Source organism: Homo sapiens, chromosome 20 (genome assembly GCF_000001405.40).
Source record: "Homo sapiens chromosome 20, GRCh38.p14 Primary Assembly".
NCBI lineage: Eukaryota > Metazoa > Chordata > Mammalia > Primates > Hominidae > Homo > Homo sapiens.
Window position 1 is genome coordinate 40,993,274 of NC_000020.11, and position 19,403 is coordinate 41,012,676.

The window sequence follows — 19,403 nt, forward strand, 5'->3', positions numbered from 1 at the left end:
ATTTTTTTTAGCAGAGACAAGGTTTCACCCTGTTGCCCAAGGTGGTCTTGAACTCCCAAGCTCAGACAATCTGCCTACCTCAGCCTCCCAAAGTGCTGGGATTACAGGCATGCGCCACCATGCCTGGCCCTAATTTTTACATTTTTAATAGAGACAGGGGTCTCACTATGTTGGCCAGGCTGGTCTCGAACTCCTGACATCAAGTGATCCGCCCACCTTGGCCTCCCAAAGTGCTGGGATTACAGGCATGAGCCACCATGCCCAGTCTATTCTAAACACTTTAAAACAACTAGCCCATATAGTCTTCCCAACAACTCCCTGAGGTAAATACTGTTATTATCCCCATTTTGCAGATCAGAAACTGAGGCACAGAGAGGTAGTGTGAAAAAAGCTCACACAGATAGTATTCTTATTGAGGCTGTGGATGTGTTAACTAGCTTGACTTAATTCTTCCACATTGTATTCATACATTATAACATCACTTTGTACCTCACAAATTTATACAGCTATAAATTGTCAATTTACAGTGAAAAGAGTTTTGATAGATTTTGCTATTTAAAAAATAACTAATAAAAAAGAAAGCATTCTTGGGCTAGGATCTCAAAAGCCAGTATTACAGATGCATTTACTTAGCAATACAACTTCCATGAGTCAATCCCAAAAATACTCTGGCAAATGTCTGACACAAGCCTCTTTGTTACAGCACTCATTGTAATAACAAGGGGCTAGAAACTACCCAAACATCCATCAACAGGGGATTATGTGAATAAATTATGATATATTTACACAGTGGAATACTATGAAGCCATAAAATGGAATGAGAGCTATCTTTGTATACTGTAGTAGAGTGATCTTCAGAATATATTGCTAGGCTGGGCATGGTGGCTCATGCCTATAATCCCAGCACTTCAGAAGCCTGAGACAGGAGGATCACTTGAACCCAGGGGTTCAAAACCAACCTGGCCAACCTAGTGAAACCTTGTCTCTGCAAAAAAAAAAAAATTGAAGGAAAATTAGCCAGGCGTGGTAGTGCACGCCTGTGGCCCCAGCTGTTCAAACGGTTGAGGTGGCCAGATTGCTTGAGCCCAGGGGATTGAGGCTGCAGTGAGCCATGTTCACAACACTGCACACCCGTCTGCGCAACAGGGCAAGACCCTGTCTCAATAAATAAATAATAAATAAAATATAAAATGTATATACATATATTATATATATATAGTTAAGTAAAAGAAGAAAAGTGTATGGCTGCTAGCATTTATGTACAAAAGAGGGGAAATCAATATATATATTTGCTTATATTTTTTAAATAAAAGAAAAGAACTTTTTAAAAAATGACTCTCGATGAGAAAGGAAGACATCAGAGTACAAAGAACAAGTATAGAAGCTAGAGTTACCTGAATATACTTATTTTGAAGATTTGGCTATGGAACGATGTAAATGTTCCACATAATCATTAAAACAAAATGGAATTTTAAATAAAGTAACCCCTAAAATGAAAGCAAAATGAAATGAATGTATCAAACTATGTATTAAATTGATGGTATAAGTGCTCAGAGAAGAATTATTTCAAATGACTTTAAACATAGTAATTTGTACATTCCCATCAGGATATACCCAAAGGACAAGAGGAACTGCCAAAAAAATTAAAGTTTTTAATTTTTTTTTTTTTTTTAGATGGAGTTTCGCTCTTGTTGCCCAGGCTAGAGTGCAATGGTGCGATCTCAGTTCACCACAGCCTCTGCCTCCCAGGTTCAAGTGATTCTCCTGCCTCAGCCTCCCGAGTAGCTGGGATTACGGGCACGTGCCACCATACCTGGCTAATTTTTTTTGTATTTTTAGTAGAGACGGGGTTTTTCCATGTTTGTCAGGCTGGTCTCGAACTCCCAACCTCAGGTGATCCGCCCCCCTCGGCCTCCCAAAGTGCTGGGATTACAGGCGTGACCTGCCATACCTGACCAGTTTTTAATCTTAAAATGTTTTCCATAATCATATTATTAATATAAATTGTTATTTTATACATTATAAGATAAAGCAAATAAATCTAATATTATTGCCACTAAAACCAACATTTTCAGCATAAGAAAAAATATAAACATAAAAGAAATAAAAATGCTATACCCTAAATTGAAATTTAAAATATCAGTATGAACTCAAGATCTCTTAAAACTTTTTTTCTCTAGCTCTACCCACTAAAAAGGCCTAGAAACAATTACCACTGCAATAACTATGAGCACCCCTAGAGAAAAGGTTGCAATATCAAAATACCATTTCCCACAAAAGAACCAGGGCTCCTAGGAGAAATAGCTGATTCAAGGTCTGGAGCAAAAAATATACAAGATGAACCAAGAAGACTTTTTCATTCCAGAAAGCAATAAAGCTATAGTGTCATGTCAAAAGGGCTCAGAAGCCAATGTCTTGAAGAGGCTCTTGTTGACCAAAGATGAGGCAATTGAAGCATCAGTAGGATCTAAAATAAAACAGATTCAAAATCCATAAGTTTATAATGATACTCAAAAAAAGAGAAGTGATAGATTGGCTAATTATCCTGATTTGATCGTTACACATTGTACACATGTATTGAAATATCATACTGTACCCCATAAATATGCACAACTATTATGTGTCAATTACAGGCAACTTATTTGCTATATTTTCCTTGTTTTTCTGAATTTTTTTTCTGAGCTGGAGTTTCATTCTTGTTGCCCAGCCTGGAGTGCAATGGTGCAATCTTGGCTCACTGCAATTTCTGCCTCCTAGGTTCAAGCAATTCTCCTGCCTCGGCCTCCCAAGTAGCTGGGATTACAGGCATGCGCCACCACACCCAGCTAAATTTTTATATTTAGTACAGACAGAGTTTCACCATGTTGGTCAGGCTGGTCTCGAACTCCTGACCTCAGGTGATCCACCTGCCTCAGCCTCCCAAAGTGCTAGGATTACAGGCATGAGCCACTGTGCCCAGCCAATTTTTTTAAATAAGTAGGTATGGAGCCATTCTTGAGTCAAGACAGTAACAGCAGTAGCAATCTTTTTATGATACTTATTATCAAATTATATACTTTAAGAATGAGCAGTTTATGTTATGTAATTTCTTTTTCAATAAAGCACCTAAGAAAGCAAGAAAGAAAAGGGAGGGAGGGAGGGAAGGAAGGAAGGGAGAGAAAGGAAAGAAAGCAAGAAAGAAAGAAAGAGAGAGAAGGAAGGAAAGAAAGGAAAGGAAAGGAAGAAAAAGAGAGGAAGAAAAAAGAAAAAAGAAAGAGGAGGGAGAGAGGGAGGGAAAAGGAAAACTTCACTGGATTCCCTTTGAGCATGTTAGGACACCAACTCATTATTTTGAAAATAGGTAAATAAAGGGAAAGAATCAAGCACCTTTTCTACTTTTTCTGTATGAACCGTATCTCCTTGTAACCAAATAATTGGTGAGAGAAAATTTCTCCTTACAGAATTATTTCAGCTAAGTAATGAGGAAAAAATCTAAAGAATTTGAATTTTGCATTTTGTACTTTACACACTTTAAGGAAACAATGGATCTAGGCCATGATCGTCAATGCCTAGGAATCGCACAGAATGAGACAAATATACTCAATGTGCCTCCTGGTATAGGTACACAATATTACCTATGAAGCATTCTTGCTAAAAACACTTAACCTGACTTTATTAAGATACTAGTCACATGAACTAGAAGTCAGAGGAATGTGTTAGATCAGCGGTCCCCAACCTTTTTGGCACTAGGGACCATGCCGTAGAAGACAATTTTTGGGCTAGAAGACAGTTTTTCCACAGACAAGGGAGGGAGTCAGGATGAAACATAGAAGACGATTTTTCATAGACTATTTTTTCCACAGACAAGGGAAGGGGTCAGGATGAAATTGTTCTAACTCAGATCATCAGGCATTACTTAGACTCTCATAAGAAGCATGCAACCTAGATCACTCACATGCGCAGTTCACAAGAGTTCGCACTCCTATGAGAATCAAATGCTGCTGCTGATCAGACAGGAAGCAGAGCTCAGGTGGTAATTCGAGCGATGGGGAGCAGCTGTAAATACAAATGAAGCTTCGCTCAGTGGCCCACCACTCACCTCCTGCTGTGTGGCCTGTTAGGAATCAGGCCGAGGACCAGTACAAAGGATTGGGGACTCATGTGTTAGATGACACCACAGGGATGCAATCCACAAACCAGAAGATAGAAGACTCTACAAGATAAATGCCATATATATATATATATATATATATATTTTTTTTTTTTTTTTTTTTTTTTTTTTGAGACAGGGTCTCACTCTGTGGCCTAGGCTGGAGTGCAGTGGTGCAATCTCCGCTCACTACAACCTCCACCTCCCAGGTTCAAGTGATTCTCCTGCCTCAGCCTCCCAAGTAGCTAGGACTACAGGCATGTGCCACCACACCTGGCTAATTTTGTTGTTGCTTTTGTTTGTTGTTTGGGGGGGGGGGTGTTGGTTGTGGTGGTGTTTTTATTTGTTTGTTTGTTTTTTGGTAGCAACGGGTTTTCACCATGTTGACCAGTCTGGTCTTGAACTCCTGACCTCAAGTGATCCACCAGCCTCAGCCTCCTAAAATGCTGAGATTACAAGCATGAGCCACCCTGCCCAGCCTCTTATTTCTTCAATAAACGAACTGAAGACAGAGCAAGGGAAAATCTCTCCAATCCTGCTTATTCCACCTTCCACACTTAAAAAAGAGAGAAAGGGAGAGCCTAAAGGGTAAAAGAGACTTAATTATTACCAATCAGTGGATTGTGTGGACCTTGTTTGGATCTTGTTTCAAATAAACACATTACATGCAACAATTGGGTATACACACACACACACACACACATAGACATATATATATATATATATATATTTTTTTTTTTTTTTTGAGACAGAGTGTAGTTCTGTTGCCCAGGCTGGAGTGCAGTGGCACCATCTCGGCTCACTGCAACCTCTGCCTCCCGTGTAGCTGAGACCACGGGTGCATGCCGCCATGCCCGGCTAATTTCTGTATTTTTAGTAGAGACAGGGTTTCGCCATATTGGCCAGACTGGTCTTGAACTTCCGACCTTAAGTGATCCTCCCGTCTCGGCTTCCCAAAGTGCTGGGATTACAGGCATGAGCCACCGTGCCTGGCCAATTCAGTATATTTAAACATGGACTGGATATTGGATTATATTAAGAATTGTTGTTGGTTTTTTTTGGTGTAATAATAATAATTGTGGCTACATGTTTAAAGTTCCTTTTTTAGAGCGACATGGAGAAATGTTTACTGATGAAATGATATGATGTTTGAGATCTGCACAGAAATTATTCCATAAAGGAGAGAGTAGATGGGCATATAATTAAAGAAGTTTATCTGGCCGGGCGCGGTGGCTTACACCTGTAATCCCAGCACTTTGGGAGGCCGAGGCAGGTGGATCATGAGGTCATGAGATCGAGACCATCCTGGCTAACATGGTGAAACCCCGTCTCTACTAAAAATACAAAAAAAAAAAAAATTAGCTGGGCATGGTGGGGGGGCGCCTGTAGTCCCAGCTACTCAGGAGACTGAGGCAGGAGAATGGCATGAACCCGGGAGGCGGAGTTTGCAGTGAGCTGAGATCGCACCACTGCACTCCAGCCTGGGCGACAGAGCAAGACTCCGTCTCAAAAAAAAAGTTTACCCATAAGTTGATCACTTTAAGTTGGGTGATGAGTATGTAAGGGTTCATTACATTATTCTCTTTACTTTTGTAAATGCTTAAAATTTCCCATACTAAAGAGGAGAAAAAGCTAATATTTGCTTATTTTCATACTTTCTGCACTTCTGCTATAAAAACCACCTCCAAGGCCAAAGGAACCAGAGAAATGTGATAAGATAAAAGGCATTATACAAAAAAAGAAATACATTGGCTAGTACTTCAAACTACTTAGAAACAGATGTATAGACCAATGAAACAGAATAGAGAGAACAGAAATAAATCCCTACAACTACAGCCAACTCATTTTTCAACAAAGGTGCAAACAACACACATCGGGGGAAAGGACAGTGTCATCAATACATGGTGCCAGGAAAATTGGGTATTTATATGCAAAAAAATTAAACTAGACCCCTACCTTTCACCATATACAAAAATCAACTCAAAATGGATTAAACACTTAGATCTAAGATCCAAAACTATGAAACTCTACTAGAAGAAAACATGGGGACACATTTTTTGACATTGTTTTGGACAAGGGTTTTTTAGATAAGCCCTCAAAAGCACAGGCATAGGCTGGGTGCAGTGGCTCATGCCTGTAATCCCAGAACTTTGGGAGGCCAAGGTGGGCGGATCACGTGAGGTCCGGAGTTCGAGACCAGCCTGGCCAACATGGCGAAAACCTGTCTTTGCTAAAAATACAAAAACTAGCTGGTGGTAGTGACATACACTTGTAGTCCCAGCTACTCTCAGAAGGTTGAGGCAGGAAAATCGCTCGAACTCGGAAGGTGGCGGTTGCAGTGAGCTGAGAGCACACCACTGCACTCCAGCCTGGACGACAGAACAAGACTCTGTCTCAAAAATAAAGTACAGGCATCAAAAGCAAACATAGACAAATGGAATTACATCAAACTGAAAAGCTTCTGCACAAAAAAACAACGCATGAAGAGATAACACACAGAGTGGGAGAAAATATTTGCAAACTATACATCTGGTTAATATCCAGAATATATAAGTAACTCAGACAACTCAATAGCAATAAACAAAAACAAAAACAAAAAACAAACCAAATAGTCCAATTTTAAAGTGGAAAAAAGACCTGAATAGACATTTCTCAAAATAAGAGTTACAAATGGCCAACAGATATTTGAAAGAATGCTCAACATCACTAGTCATCAGGGAAATGCAAATCAAATCCATAAACAGATATCATCTCACTCCAGTTAGAACCATTATTATCAAAAAGACAAAAGACGAGTGTTGGCGAGGATGCAGACAAAAGGGAACCCTTACACGCTGTTGGTGGAACTGTAAATTAGTACAGCTGTTGTAGAAAACAGTATGGAGGTTCCCCCCAAAATTAAAAATGGAACTACCATATGATCCAGGAATCCAACTACTAGGTATACATCTAAAAGAAATAGGCTGGGCCCAGTGGCTCATGCCTGTAATCCCAGCACTTTGGGAGGCCGTGACAGGTGGATCTTGAGGCCAGGAGTTTGAGACCAGCCTGGCCAACATGGTAAAACCTTGTCTCTACTACAAATACAAAAGATTAGCTGGGTGTGGTGGCACGTGCCTGTAGTCCCAGCTATTTGGAAGGCCGAGACAGGAGAATCACTTGAACCTGGGAGGCAGAGGTTGCAGTGAGCCGAGATGGCACCACTGCACTCCAGCCTGGACAACAGAGTGAGACCCTGTCTTGAAAATAAAATAAAATAAAGGAAAGGAAAGGAAAGGAAATCAGCATGTCAAAGAGGTATCTGTGCTCCCATATTTATTACAGCATTATTCACAATAGCCAGTGTATGGAATCAACTTAAGTGTTCATCAATGAACGAATGGATGAAGACAATGAAGTACATGTAAACAATGGAATACTATTCAGCCATAAAAAAGGACTAAATCCTGTTCATTTGTGACTACATGGATGAATCTGGTGACTTTATGTTATGTGAAATAAGCCAGACACAGAAAAACAAACTGTATGTTCTTATCTGTGGAACCTAAAAAAATCGATCTCCACTTGGCACAGTGGCTCAAGCCTGTAATCCCAACACTTTGGGAGGCCAAGAAAGGAGGATTGCTTGAATCCAGGAGTTCAAGACCAGCGTGAGCAACATACGAAGACTCCATCTCTACAAAAAATTTAAAAATTTTTCTGGGTAGGCGCAGTGGCTCATGCCTGTAATTCCAGCACTTTGGGAGGCTGAGGTGGGCGGATCACAAGGTCAGGAGTTCGAGACCAGCCTGACCAATATGGTGAAACCCCATCTCTACTATAAATACAAAAAAAATTAGCCGGGCATGGTGGCAGGCACCTGTAATCCCAGCTACTTGGGAGGCTGAGGCAGGAGAGTTGCTTGAACCCGGGAGGCGGAGGTTGCAGTAAGCCAAGATCGCGCCACTGCACTCCAGCCTGGGCAACAGAGCAAGACTCTGACTCAAAAAAAAAAAAAATTCTGGGTGGGGTGGTACATTCCTGTGGTTCTCAGCTACTCAGGAGGCTGAGGCAGGAGGATCACTTGAGCCCAGAAGTTCAAGGCTGCAGTGAGCTGTAATTGCACCACTGCACTCCAGCCTGGGTGACAAAGACCCTGTCTCAAAACAAAAAAAGAATTTTTGTTTTAAATCTCATAGAAGCAGAGAGTAAAATAGTGGTTACTAGAGGCTAGGGAGGGATTGGTAGAGGGAGGAGGAGGAGAGGTTGGCCAATAAGTACCACGTTACAATTAGGTAGGAGAAATAAGTTCTGGTGTTCTATTGCACAATAGGGTGACTATAGTTAAGAATAATGTACATCTCAAAATAGCAGAAAAGAGGATTTGAAATCTTCTCGCCACAAAGAAACGATAAATGTTTGAGGTGATGGATTTTTTAATTACCTTGATTTGATTATCATAGTGTATATACGTATTGAAACATCACATTGTACCCCATAAATACAATCATTATGTGTCAATTAAAAATAAAATAATTACAGGTGTGAGCCACCATGCCCAGCCTGAAGTGCCCTATTGAACATATGAGTCTAGAGCTCAGACTATCTCCCTCTCAGATACCAAACAACCCTTATTTATTTCACACTGGTCTTCTCTTTATTTTATTTTATTTATTTATTTTTTTTTTTGAGACGGAGTCTTGCTCTGTTGCCCAGGCTGGAGTTCAGTGGCATGATCTCGGCTCACTGTAAGCTCTGCCTCCCGGGTTCACACCATTCTCCTGCCTCAGCCTCCCGAGTAGCTGGGACTACAGGCGCCCGCCACCACGCCCAGCTAATTTTTTGTATTTTTAGTTGAGACGGGTTTTCACCATGTTAGCCAGGATGGTCTCAATCTCCTGACCTCATGATCTGCCTGCCTCAGCCTCCCAAAGTGCTAGGATTACAGGCGTGAGCCACCATGCCTGGCCCCACACTGGCCTTCTTTCTTTTCCTGAACAGGCCAAGTTTCCTCCAGCCTCAGGACCATGGCATTGCTATTCCTGTTGCCTGGCATATTTCTCCCCTAGATGGCCACATGACTAGCTCTTAAACATTCAGATCTCAGGTCAAATATCATCTAATGAGAAAATCCTTGCTCGGTCGGGCATGGTGGCTCACGCCCGTAATCCCAGCACTTTGGGAGGCTGAGGCGGGCGGATCACCTGAGCCCAGGAGTTCTAGACCAGCCTGGCAAACATGGTGAAACCCCATCTCTACTAAAAATACAAAAATTAGCCAGGTGTGGTGGCAGGCCCCTGTGATCCCAGCTACTCGGGAGGCTGAGGCAGAAGAATTGCTTGAACCAGGGAGGCGGAGGTTGCAGTGAGCCGAGATCGCACCATTGCATTCCAGCCTGGGTGACAGAGTGAGACACTGTATCGAAAAAAATAATAATAATAAAAAAGAAAAAAAAAGAAAATCCTCGCTCAAGACCCAAGCTAAAATCAATATAAGGAGTGAGCCAGGGATCCACATTGGTCAGATTTTGCTGTGACAATGATGCATAAAAGACAACTTCCAGAAGCCTGGTGCTTACAGCAGTAAACATTCACTTCTTGCCCAGGGGTCTGTGGGTCAAGCTGGGGCTCTGCAGGGCTTTCTGGGGCTAGCTGGGCTGGGCTCCAGGCTTTGGGGTGAGTAGGTGGCTGTCTCATATATCTTCTCATTTGGAGTCCAGGCTGAAGGAGCCTCCACTGTCTGGGACTTGTGGTTCTCATGGCCGAGGACAGTTGCTCAAAGGGATGAATGGAAACACTTTGTGCCTTGGGCCTGGCCCCTGTGACTTCCACACATATTCTCATGGCCAAAGCAAGTCACGTGGCCAAGTGCAATATCAACAGGGTGAGGAAGTATATTCCTTCCGTGGTGGTGGGGGCTGGGGAAAGTAAATATTTGCTGAACAGTAATACAATCTACCAAATCACCCAATTCTTTTTTTCCCCCAGATGGCTATGTTTATTGAGTCATCCCTCCACATTCTTATGAAATACCATCTTTTACAAACGAATGAATGAATGAGAAATGTGCCTTTCAAGGCAGGAGGAGCCTCCCCATGCTTCAAATGAGAAACCTGAGGCTCAGAGAAGGGAGTGAGTCACCCAAGGTCCTAGAAACCACCTGTGGCAAGCCCAGCCTGTCGGGCTCCTCAGTTCACTTCTCTACATACAATAAATGAGGCAGGAAAGTGCAATTTTCTGGGCAGTGAGGACACATCACCCGTCCTGCCCTCCCACTGAGGCTTGTTGACAGGCCCATAATCAGGAGGCAAGTATACCAAAAGGTTTCCTTGCTGATTCAATCTCGGGGCTCACTCTGAAACCAAGTAGGACCTTGATTTGTCATTTCCGGGTCTCCGAACCACAAATGTTAAGTACGTATTAAATGAGTGAGTCACTGGTCCTGTGGACATTTTAATTGCTGATTAAGTGTTCCATGAATTCTGGGTCCCGCCCCAACTGTGCCTGCCCCTAAGGTACAGACAGTCACCTCTACTTCTTCGGGGACCTGCAGTGTCTAACACCGACTAGGGTACACAGTGACACTCAAAAATGAGGCATAGGCATATAGGCCGGGCATTGTGGCTCACGCCTATAATCCCAGCACTTTGGGAGGTCGAGGCGGGCAGATCACTTAAGCCCAAGAGTTCAAGATCACCGTGGGCAACATGGCAAAACTCTGCCTCTACAAAGAAAAAAAAAAGTCAGGTGTGGTGGTGTGCACCTGTGGTCCCAGCTACTTGGGAGGCTGAGGTGCTAGGATTGCTTGAGCCCAGAAGGCAGAGGTTGCAGTGATCCAGGATCACATGCCACTACACTCCAGCCTGGGTGACAGAGTGAGACCCTGTCTCAAAAAAAAAAAAACAAAAAAAAGGTATAGGGCTTAGGCAAATTCTGGAAGGACATGCCTCAGATAAACAGTGGGCAACCCTTTTGAAGCAAGTTTACTTAGAACTTTAACTCTCTGCTTTCGGTCTTTATGTAGCATTTGAACACTCCACAATCAGTATAGATTGCTTCTATAGGCGTGAGTATAGGTATGCTTCTGATTGCACAGGTAGCATTCAGAGAACCAATCTGAAACTGGTCTAAGTCCATACTAGTGTGCAAAAAGCAATTACTTGCTGATTGGTTGGGAAACTCCTGAAAATCATCTTCCTCCAGAATCCTTCTCCCACACATTATCAGAAGCCTGCTTTCAGAAACACTGAGTCAATTCTCAACCACTCCTTCAGTCAGTAAGCCCGGGAGCACCTACAGCACGCCAAGTGATGAGTGAGCCACCAGGGTGACAGGTGATAGGCAGGGAAACAGGTGGTAGCCAGAGTCAGTGGGGCCTGCATTCAAACCATTGCTGACATAGATGGCACTGGACCATGGGCCAGACACTGTGCTAAACGCCCCACAAGGATTATCACGTTTAATCCACACGACAAGTTGATGAGGCAGGCACTATTATTATCCTGTTTGACAGCTGTGGAAACTGAAGTGCAGAGAGGCAAAGGAACTTGCCCAAGGTCACATAACTAGCAGATGGTGGAACCGACATTTGATTCCAGAGTCTGTGATCCCCACTGTGACCCAAAACTGCTTCCCACTAGGAACTTGTCCAGATTCCACAGGCAGTAAGTGACAGTCAAAATTCAAACTCAGAAAGGTTCATCAGCCTCCAAAGAATATTGTCTTAACTGATAAGACGTCCTCCCTTCCAACTCCCTCCATTTCTGGATCCAACACCAACATGCTGGGTGACCTTGGGGAGCCTCCCTGACCTCAGTTTTCATGGCTGCAAAATGGAAAGAACACTGCTTACCTTAAGGAGCTGCAGAGGGGCTTTTATGCGAAGACAGTTCCTCCTGTAGAAATATGGTAGGCACTCAGTTGAGATACATCTGTGTTCTTTCTGGTTTCCAGGAGTTTGGGGCAGTTGGACAAGTGGGCACTGGAGCAAGTCTGTGTGATAAGCTCTATGACTGAGAGTGGACTAAGTGCTGGGCCAGAGGCTGCACATGGGATGGAAAGCCAAGGGCTGCTGTGTACCCAGAAAACTCAACTGAAGGAACACTGGAATAAACAACCCTCAGAAGGAGGGAAGCTTTGTTCGTCATCTTTCCTGTTTTCCTAGTCTGGCCCAGTTCCAAAACCTCTTCTTAATCGTGTCAGGAGTTTGGCCCAGTGCCCCAGGAAGGAGCCGCCAGGAGGCTTATAGTGAGCCAAGTCTTCAAGGAAGTGATGTCTTCTGTAAGTCAAGAGAAGGCAAGAAACTTTCTGGGAGAGAGAAGGAGATAGGGACAGAAACAGGGAAGCGCTCAGCTGGAAGACCCTTCCTTGAAGAAGTGGAGAAACTGAGGCTTAGAACAGAGCAAGGTTTACTGATTGTGCTGGTGGCACGGTTGGGGCAAGTAGCTTGTCTTCCTTCCTCCCAGGTCAGAGTCCTCTCCACTGCATGTATTGACTGTTCACCCCCTTCCTATTCTAGGACTACCCAGGCAGGGGGAGCTGCCTTCACTCACCCTTTCCCACTACTGCTTCCAGAAACATCTCCCCATCACTACACTAGGGACTTTGTAAGCACAGATGTGGGACCCATGAGTACTACAGAAGGAAGCAGAAGCTGCAAAGACCTTGGTAAGTTCGGCCATGCGGGAAACGAGGATGACAGACCCTCTGAAAGAAAGAACCAGTGCTTCCCAACACCTACTGTGTGTCTGTGCAATGCCAGGCACATCCAACATGTCATTATGGGATCCTTGGGCTGTCACTTCACCAGCCAGAAACCTCTGTAGCCAGTGGTGCCTTTGCCAGAGTTTTGCTCAGGCTCATTGCGCCCACTTGGCCTGGCAGGCTATGCTCAGCTCGTGCTAATGGCCTGGATCCCCTGCCTGCCAAGGGCGAGCGGAGCAGCGAGGATATGTGTGAGCAAGCAAGCGTGGGGTCCAGCCACTGTGCACAGCCAGGAACAATGGCTGTGGTGGAGTGGGCAGCTCCAGGTGCCAGCATGAGTGCTGGCTTCTTACGAGGCTGCAGCTGGAACAGGCATCCTGCAAGCAGCTTCCACTGCTGCCACTGGGGAATGCAATGGTTCCTGGGGGCTTGGATATGTCAGGAACCAGACCCCCAAAGAGGGTGTCACAGCCCTGGCTCAGGGAGCTCCTAGGTCTGGGGTCCCCGAAGGGCCTCAGCTCTTCTCCCCTTCTTCTTACCCACAACGTGGTGAGCAAGAGGTGTGTTTCAGCCGTGTTTGTGTTACAGCGCTTTCAGCCCTGCCATTCAGGAGGTCCTGAGTTCTTGTCCCATGCCCGGGAAGAATGAGGTACACAGACAAGTGGAGGGTGAGCAAGCTGAAGAGCTTTACTGAGCAATAGAGCAGCTCAGAGGAGACTCACAGTGGGTAGCTCCTCTCTGCTGCCAGGGTGTCCCATTAATGTTCAACTTTAATGTTCAGCTCTCAGCAGAGAGGAGCTACAAGACCCTGGAATGGGTAGCTTCTCTCCGCAGCTGGTCATCCTGATGTCTGCTGAGCTCCCAGCAGAGAGGAGACTTCAGAGGGGATAGCTCCTTTCTGCAGCTGGTTGTCCCAACATCTCTCTGAGTCTGGCTGAGTCCAGGTTCTTATGGGCTTCAGAGGGGAGGAAGTGTGTGCTGATTGGTCCATGGTTGGCCATGGGCAGGCCCAGAAAAGGCACCATAAGTTCCTACTCCAATCTGCAGGACTGGCAGCCTGGCCCCCAGGCTTCAGGCCTTCCCAGGATTGAAGGTGGGGCTTCACCAGGGACCCACCCCTTTTTGTCCAGAGCCTATCTGCCTCCTGCCACTGTTCATAGCACCCAGGCTGTTCAGGCAGAGGGGCACCTGCAGGCCAGTGCTGAGCTGCCCTCAGCCCTTCCTTGGTCTCCCTTCCATGTTAGTTTGTGCCCAAAGTCTGAAGTGGGCCAAGGTGGCAGGGGGCTGGTGTGTCAGTGCTGCCCCAAGCATGCACACACCCAGCTGGGTTGCGACAGTGCCTGGGATCAGCCTCAACTTTGCTCTGAAATCGAAGCAGGTGCCAGGAGCAGGGAAAGGCCAGGCAGTGGAAGCAGGCATTTCTGAGCCTGCAGGGGCAGGGGGGCCTTCCTGGGCCCCCAAGAGTGCAGAGATGCCTGGGTCTGCAGCCCTGGCTTGGGCAGCTGCAGCTGCGCCCAAGGAGCATGAAGCTTCCACCCTGTCAACTCAGAAGACGGCAGGGCTTCTGCCTGTTCCCGGCTCCTGCTGGTTCTGTGGAGCACCTCCCCCACTGCAGCCTGCATCATGGCAGTGGCCACTCTAGACAGGCCACCACTGCCATCAATGTTACATAATCTAATCATCACACTAACTCTGGGAAGTAGATTACATCCCCATTTTGCAGATAAGGAACCTAAGGCTCATAGGGGAGACATTTCCTGCCCAACTCTATCTCCAGCCCATAACTGTCTTCCAACCTCTAAACCTGGCTATCTACTTTGTCTCAGATATTCCTACTTATAACCCCACATGCTTCTCAAAGTCACCTTGAACTCATCCTCTTCCCCTCCCATAGATTTCTGGTCTCCCATCATAGCCTTACTACTCAGAACCCCAGATACTAATGTTGACTCCACCCTCTCCCCTATTTCTATCTCCAAATAGCCTGGGATTAGTGGTCCCCATTCCAAGTCTATTTCCTAGACATTGGCCTTCAATTCAAAGGGATGTAGCATAGTCCAGACTTTTATCATCTCCCTCTTAGATAACTTCAACAGTTTCTGTAAAAGCTCCTCTGCCTCCAGTTTATCCTTCCATCCATCCATACCCCACTCAAAATGTCAGGGGCAATCTTTCTAAAATGCAAATCTGTCTAGTCTCAACCAGCTGAAAACTCTGCCATGGCTTCACAGTGCCCTCAGGATAAACCCTTTACAGAGGCTTGCCTGGCCCTAAAAGTCTTGGCCCTTGCTGCCTTCTCTGGGGTCAGGTTGGGTCACTGTCTACCCTCTGCCCCTGAAGCCTTGGACGTCCTGGAATACATACAGTTCCTCTTTCACTTCAAGGCTTTGACCCCTGCTGTTTTCTCTGCCTTCCTCCAGCTAACTCCTTCTCATCTTTCAGGTCTCAGCTTAGTCACCACTTCCTGACCACCCTGCTCTTAGGCTTCCTGAGCTGCCCTTCCAGTGAATCCCGCAGTTCCCTTATACTTCCTACACTGGGTTACCCACCCCCTCCTTCTCACATTCCCCTGTACAGCCCAAAACAGCCTTCCCCAGCAGCACAGAACACTGGGGCAGCACTCTCCAATGAAAATACAATGCATGCCACGTGCATAATTATAAATTTTTGGGTTGGGTGCGGTGGCTCATGCCTGTAATCCCAGCACTTTGAGAGTCCGAGATGGGTGGCTCAAGTGATCATGGTAAAATCCTGTTTCTTTTTTTTTTTTTTTTTTTTTTTTTTTGAGACGGAGTCTCGCTCTGTCGCCCAGGCTGGAGTGCAGTGGCGGGATCTCGGCTCACTGCAAGCTCCGCCTCCCGGGTTCACGCCATTCTCCTGCCTCAGCCTCCCAAGTAGCTGGGACTACAGGCGCCCGCCACTACGCCCGGCTAATTTTTTGTATTTTTAGTAGAGACGGGGTTTCACCGTTTTAGCTGGGATGGTCTCAATCTCCTGACCTCGTGATCCGCCCGCCTCGGCCTCCCAAAGTGCTGGGATTACAGGCGTGAGCCACCGCGCCCGGCCGTAAAATCCTGTTTCTACAAAAATACAAATATTAGCCAGGCATGGTGGCATGCATTTGTAGTCCCAGCTACTCAGGAGGCTGAGGTGGGAAGATTGCTCGAGCCTGCCGTGAGCCATGACCATGCCACTGCACTCCAGCCTGGGTGACAGGCTGAGACCCTGTGTCTAAAAAAAAATAAATAAAATAAATCAATTTTCTAGTAGCCTCTGTCTCCCAGGCTCAAGTGATTCTCCCACCTCAGCTTCCAAGTAGCTGGGACCACAGGTGCACATCACCACACCCAGCTAATTTTTTGTAGTTTTGATATAGATAGCATTTCGTCATGTTGCCCAAGCTAGTCTCAAACACCTGAGCTCAGGGGATCCACCTGCCTCAGCCTCCCCAAATGCTGAGATTACAGGTGTGAGCCATTGTGCCTGGTCTCTAGTAGCCACATTTTAAAAAGTAACAGTAAATAGATGAAATTAATTTTAATAACAAATTTTAACCCAATATTTCAACATATATCAATATAAAAAGTATGCATATTTCATTTTATTTTTGTACTAAGAATCTGAAATCCAGTGTATATTTCACACTCACAGCACATCTGAGTTTGAACTAGCCACATTTCAAGTGCTCAGTAGTCCTGGGTGCTAGCGGCTATCAGATTAGACAGTGTAGTTTTAGAGGATGCTTACAGCTAACTGGCCTATGTCCTGTACTGGAGGACATTCATTCTGAGAAAAATTCATAGAAATTTTCCTCTTTGGAAAAAAGGATTCTAAGTCAGACCGGTCACTGACAGAGTGAAACAGGGTTTTTAATTCTTTAGGACCTCAAGAGTCTTCTCTGTGCTAGTGTGAGATGTGATACAGACCAGAGAACATGTAACATCTCCCCAGCTTACTTGAGCTCAGAGCTCTGTTTTCATAAAGATTTCTGGGGAATGAGATGTGATAAAGACCAGAAGAGCGATATAGCATTTCCCCAACTTATCTGAGCTCAGGGTTCTGTTTTCATAAGGCCTTTCGGGGGATTAGTGTCCAGTGGAATGTTCTTTGGCAAATGTTGATACAGCCACATGCCTGACTCAGTAGATCCCAGGATCCCCACAGGAAGAATGTAGAGTTGAGGAAGTCTGCCTCAAGTGCCTCAGCACCTGAGACTCGATTACTGAATTGACTAAACTAATTATGGGAGGCCATATAGGGCAGGACTAGAATTAGTGAGCAAAAATTGCAGCATATTTCAGCTCAAACAAGGATTTTTTTTTATTGTGTGTGTATGTGTGCGCACACATGCGTGTTTTTAAAAATTTAAATCTAAGTTGCCAGATCTGTCTAAAAAATGCAATATGTGGCCTTGTGAGATGATGATTTCTCTGTCACTCATAATCAAGGAGTGATGAAGGCTAGAGTTCTTTGTGGGGTAGGGGGCTCCTAACCAGAGTCTCTAATTTTTTTTTCCAGAACTTAAAAAAGGTAAGAAAAAAAGCAACAATGGGCAGAGAACTTGAGCATCAGAGGAACTGATCAGACATGCTCTGGACCATTTATTAAGAGCACACTTTGGGATTCTGGAGCCTTCAGTGGAAGATTGGTTTATAGCCAAATCCCTTTTGAGGCTACAGATTCTTGGTTCAGTTCAGATGATTTTTTTTTTTTAGACAGTCTCACTCTGTTGCCCAGGCTGGAGTGCAGTGGCCACCATCTCAGCTCATTGCAACCTCTGCCACCCAGGTTGAGTGATTCTCCTGCCTCAGCCACTCTAGTAGCTAGGATTACAGGCATGTGCCACCATACCTGGCTAACTCTTTTGTATTTTTAGTAGACATGGGGTCTCACCATGTTGGCCAGGCTGGTCTCAAACTCCCATATCTGCCCACCTCAGCCTCCCAAAGTGTTGGATTACAGGCATGAGCCACTGCACCTGGCCTATATCACACTTTGATAAAAGGTTTTAAGGCTGGGTATGGGCTGGGATTACACCTGTAATCCCAGCACTTTGGGAGGCTGAGGTGAGCAGATCACAAGGTCAAGAGATTGAGACCATCCTGGCCAACATGGTGAAACCCTGTCTCTACTAAAAATACAAAAATTAGCCAGGCATGGTGGCACACGCCTGTAGTCCCAGCTACTCAGGAGACTGAGGCAGGAGAATCGCTTGAACCAGAGAGGCAGAGGTTGCAGTGAACCAAGATCGTGCCACTACACTCCAGCCTGGCAACAAAGCTAGACTCCTTCTCAAAAATAATAATAATAATAAAAAAAGGGTTAGCCATGCTACCGAGAGGCCCCTAACCACCCACAGACAGACAGACAGACTGCAGATGGAATCAGACCAATCATCTCAGAGCCTCCAGGTGCCCATCAGTAAGATGCCTGGAAGGACCTGGAAGCTGAGGCCTTTAAAGGTTGGGCTCAGTGTCTCTATGTCAAGCACGGGGCCTGGTACAATGTAGGTGTTCAAATAGTTGTCTCCTTCCTTCCTCATACCTGGATTTTAGGTGTGGCAGTTCCAGAAATGCCATGGCCTGCGTAAGAAGGGTCTGGAGTGCCTCATTTAAAGCTCACAAGGATCACAGAGGCTGGCACAGCTGGGCTGAGAACAGAAGGGGAAACGAAACCCTTTCATGGCTCACATATGCTCAAGCAACTACAAAGAAGCCACCTGTGGTCAGCTGAAGAGTGGATGGGGGAGAAAGAGGGAGCTTCAGAGAAGTGGGGGTGGTGGTGAGGAAGAAGGTTTTTAGGTGGTAGAAGTGGAGGAGGTCAAAGAAAACAGCAGTTAAGAATCATAGGCAATACACCATAGGGTGAGGGTAGGGGTGGGGAAGGTAGGTTTTGGGTGGTGGAGATGGGAAAGGTTAAAAAAAAACCACAGTGGTTAATAATAGGCAACACACCATCCATCGTGCGGAGGAAGAAACCCTGGACTTAGAATTATGTGATTTTGGCAAAACATGTAACCAAGCAGCTCTCTCATCTGTAAAAATGGGACAATAATAGTTCCTTTCTCTTGGGGTTATTGAGAGGTTGAAATCAGTTGATGCATGAAAAATGTACAAATCTTGCTGTTGCTGTTAATAATAACAGTATTGATAATACCGTAGGAAGAAGCTTCTGCTTCTGAAAGGAGACCAGGTGGACTGATTTGGGAACCAAAAACAACCAGAAATCTAGAGGGAAGGGGAGAAGGCAAGGAGAGATCTTGATCTAGGTGCACCAGAACTTATATGCAAAATGCTGTTTTTAAGTGCATAGGTATTAATATTTATTAGAGGAAGAGATACCATAGCCCACATCAGCTTCTCAAAGGAGTCTATCTCACACACACACACACACACACACACACACACACACAGACACACACACACAATAGTTTAAAAATGACTGATCTAGAGAAATTAAGAGCCAAGAGAAAGAAGCAGATGAGACAAGAGGCCCACAATCATCCATGGTTGGAATGAGCCATCTCCATGGACCTAAGACTTGGGATCAGGGGTGGCGGAAAGTATAAACAGAAGAGGCAAAAAAAAGAGTTT

The 19,403-nt window shown here is 45.1% G+C and overlaps 2 long non-coding RNA genes across 4 annotated transcripts in view, besides 4 other annotated features; one reads left to right on the forward strand and one right to left on the reverse strand.

Annotated features, from left to right (window-relative positions):
* LOC100128988 (uncharacterized) overlaps window positions 1-19,403 on the forward strand; it is a 44,684-nt gene that overhangs the window by 12,561 nt on the left and 12,720 nt on the right. For both annotated transcript variants that reach the window (NR_145524.1, NR_145525.1), the window contains exon 2: window positions 12,626-12,774. This is a non-coding gene — a long non-coding RNA (uncharacterized LOC100128988). The remainder of the gene's footprint in view (window positions 1-12,625; window positions 12,775-19,403) is intronic.
* Window positions 2,341-12,201, reverse strand: LOC105372621 (uncharacterized). Of its 2 annotated transcripts, XR_007067586.1 has the most exons (3): window positions 11,960-12,201; window positions 3,935-4,035; window positions 2,341-2,467 (listed from the first exon to the last, which is right to left on the reverse strand). It is a non-coding gene; the product is annotated as an uncharacterized LOC105372621 (long non-coding RNA). The 2 variants fall into 2 exon arrangements; XR_936724.4 differs by lacking the exon at window positions 3,935-4,035.
* Window positions 3,738-4,312: an enhancer, noted in NCBI's record as "OCT4-NANOG hESC enhancer chr20:39625651-39626225 (GRCh37/hg19 assembly coordinates)". NCBI's record gives its function as "activates a minimal SCP1, AML or CMV promoter by ChIP-STARR-seq in naive H9 embryonic stem cells {active_cell/tissue: H9 hESC(naive)}" and the evidence as "EXISTENCE:reporter gene assay evidence [ECO:0000049][PMID:30033119]".
* Window positions 9,988-11,187: an enhancer, noted in NCBI's record as "P300/CBP strongly-dependent group 1 enhancer chr20:39631901-39633100 (GRCh37/hg19 assembly coordinates)". NCBI's record gives its function as "activates an origin of replication core promoter dependent on BRD2, BRD4, P300/CBP, MED14 and CDK7 cofactors, with strong dependence on P300/CBP, by STARR-seq in HCT116 cells {active_cell/tissue: HCT116}" and the evidence as "EXISTENCE:reporter gene assay evidence [ECO:0000049][PMID:35650434]".
* Window positions 18,269-18,428: an enhancer, noted in NCBI's record as "active region_17884". NCBI's record gives its function as "activates an Ori minimal core promoter by ATAC-STARR-seq in GM12878 lymphoblastoid cells {active_cell/tissue: GM12878}" and the evidence as "EXISTENCE:reporter gene assay evidence [ECO:0000049][PMID:35858748]".
* Window positions 18,569-18,618: an enhancer, noted in NCBI's record as "active region_17885". NCBI's record gives its function as "activates an Ori minimal core promoter by ATAC-STARR-seq in GM12878 lymphoblastoid cells {active_cell/tissue: GM12878}" and the evidence as "EXISTENCE:reporter gene assay evidence [ECO:0000049][PMID:35858748]".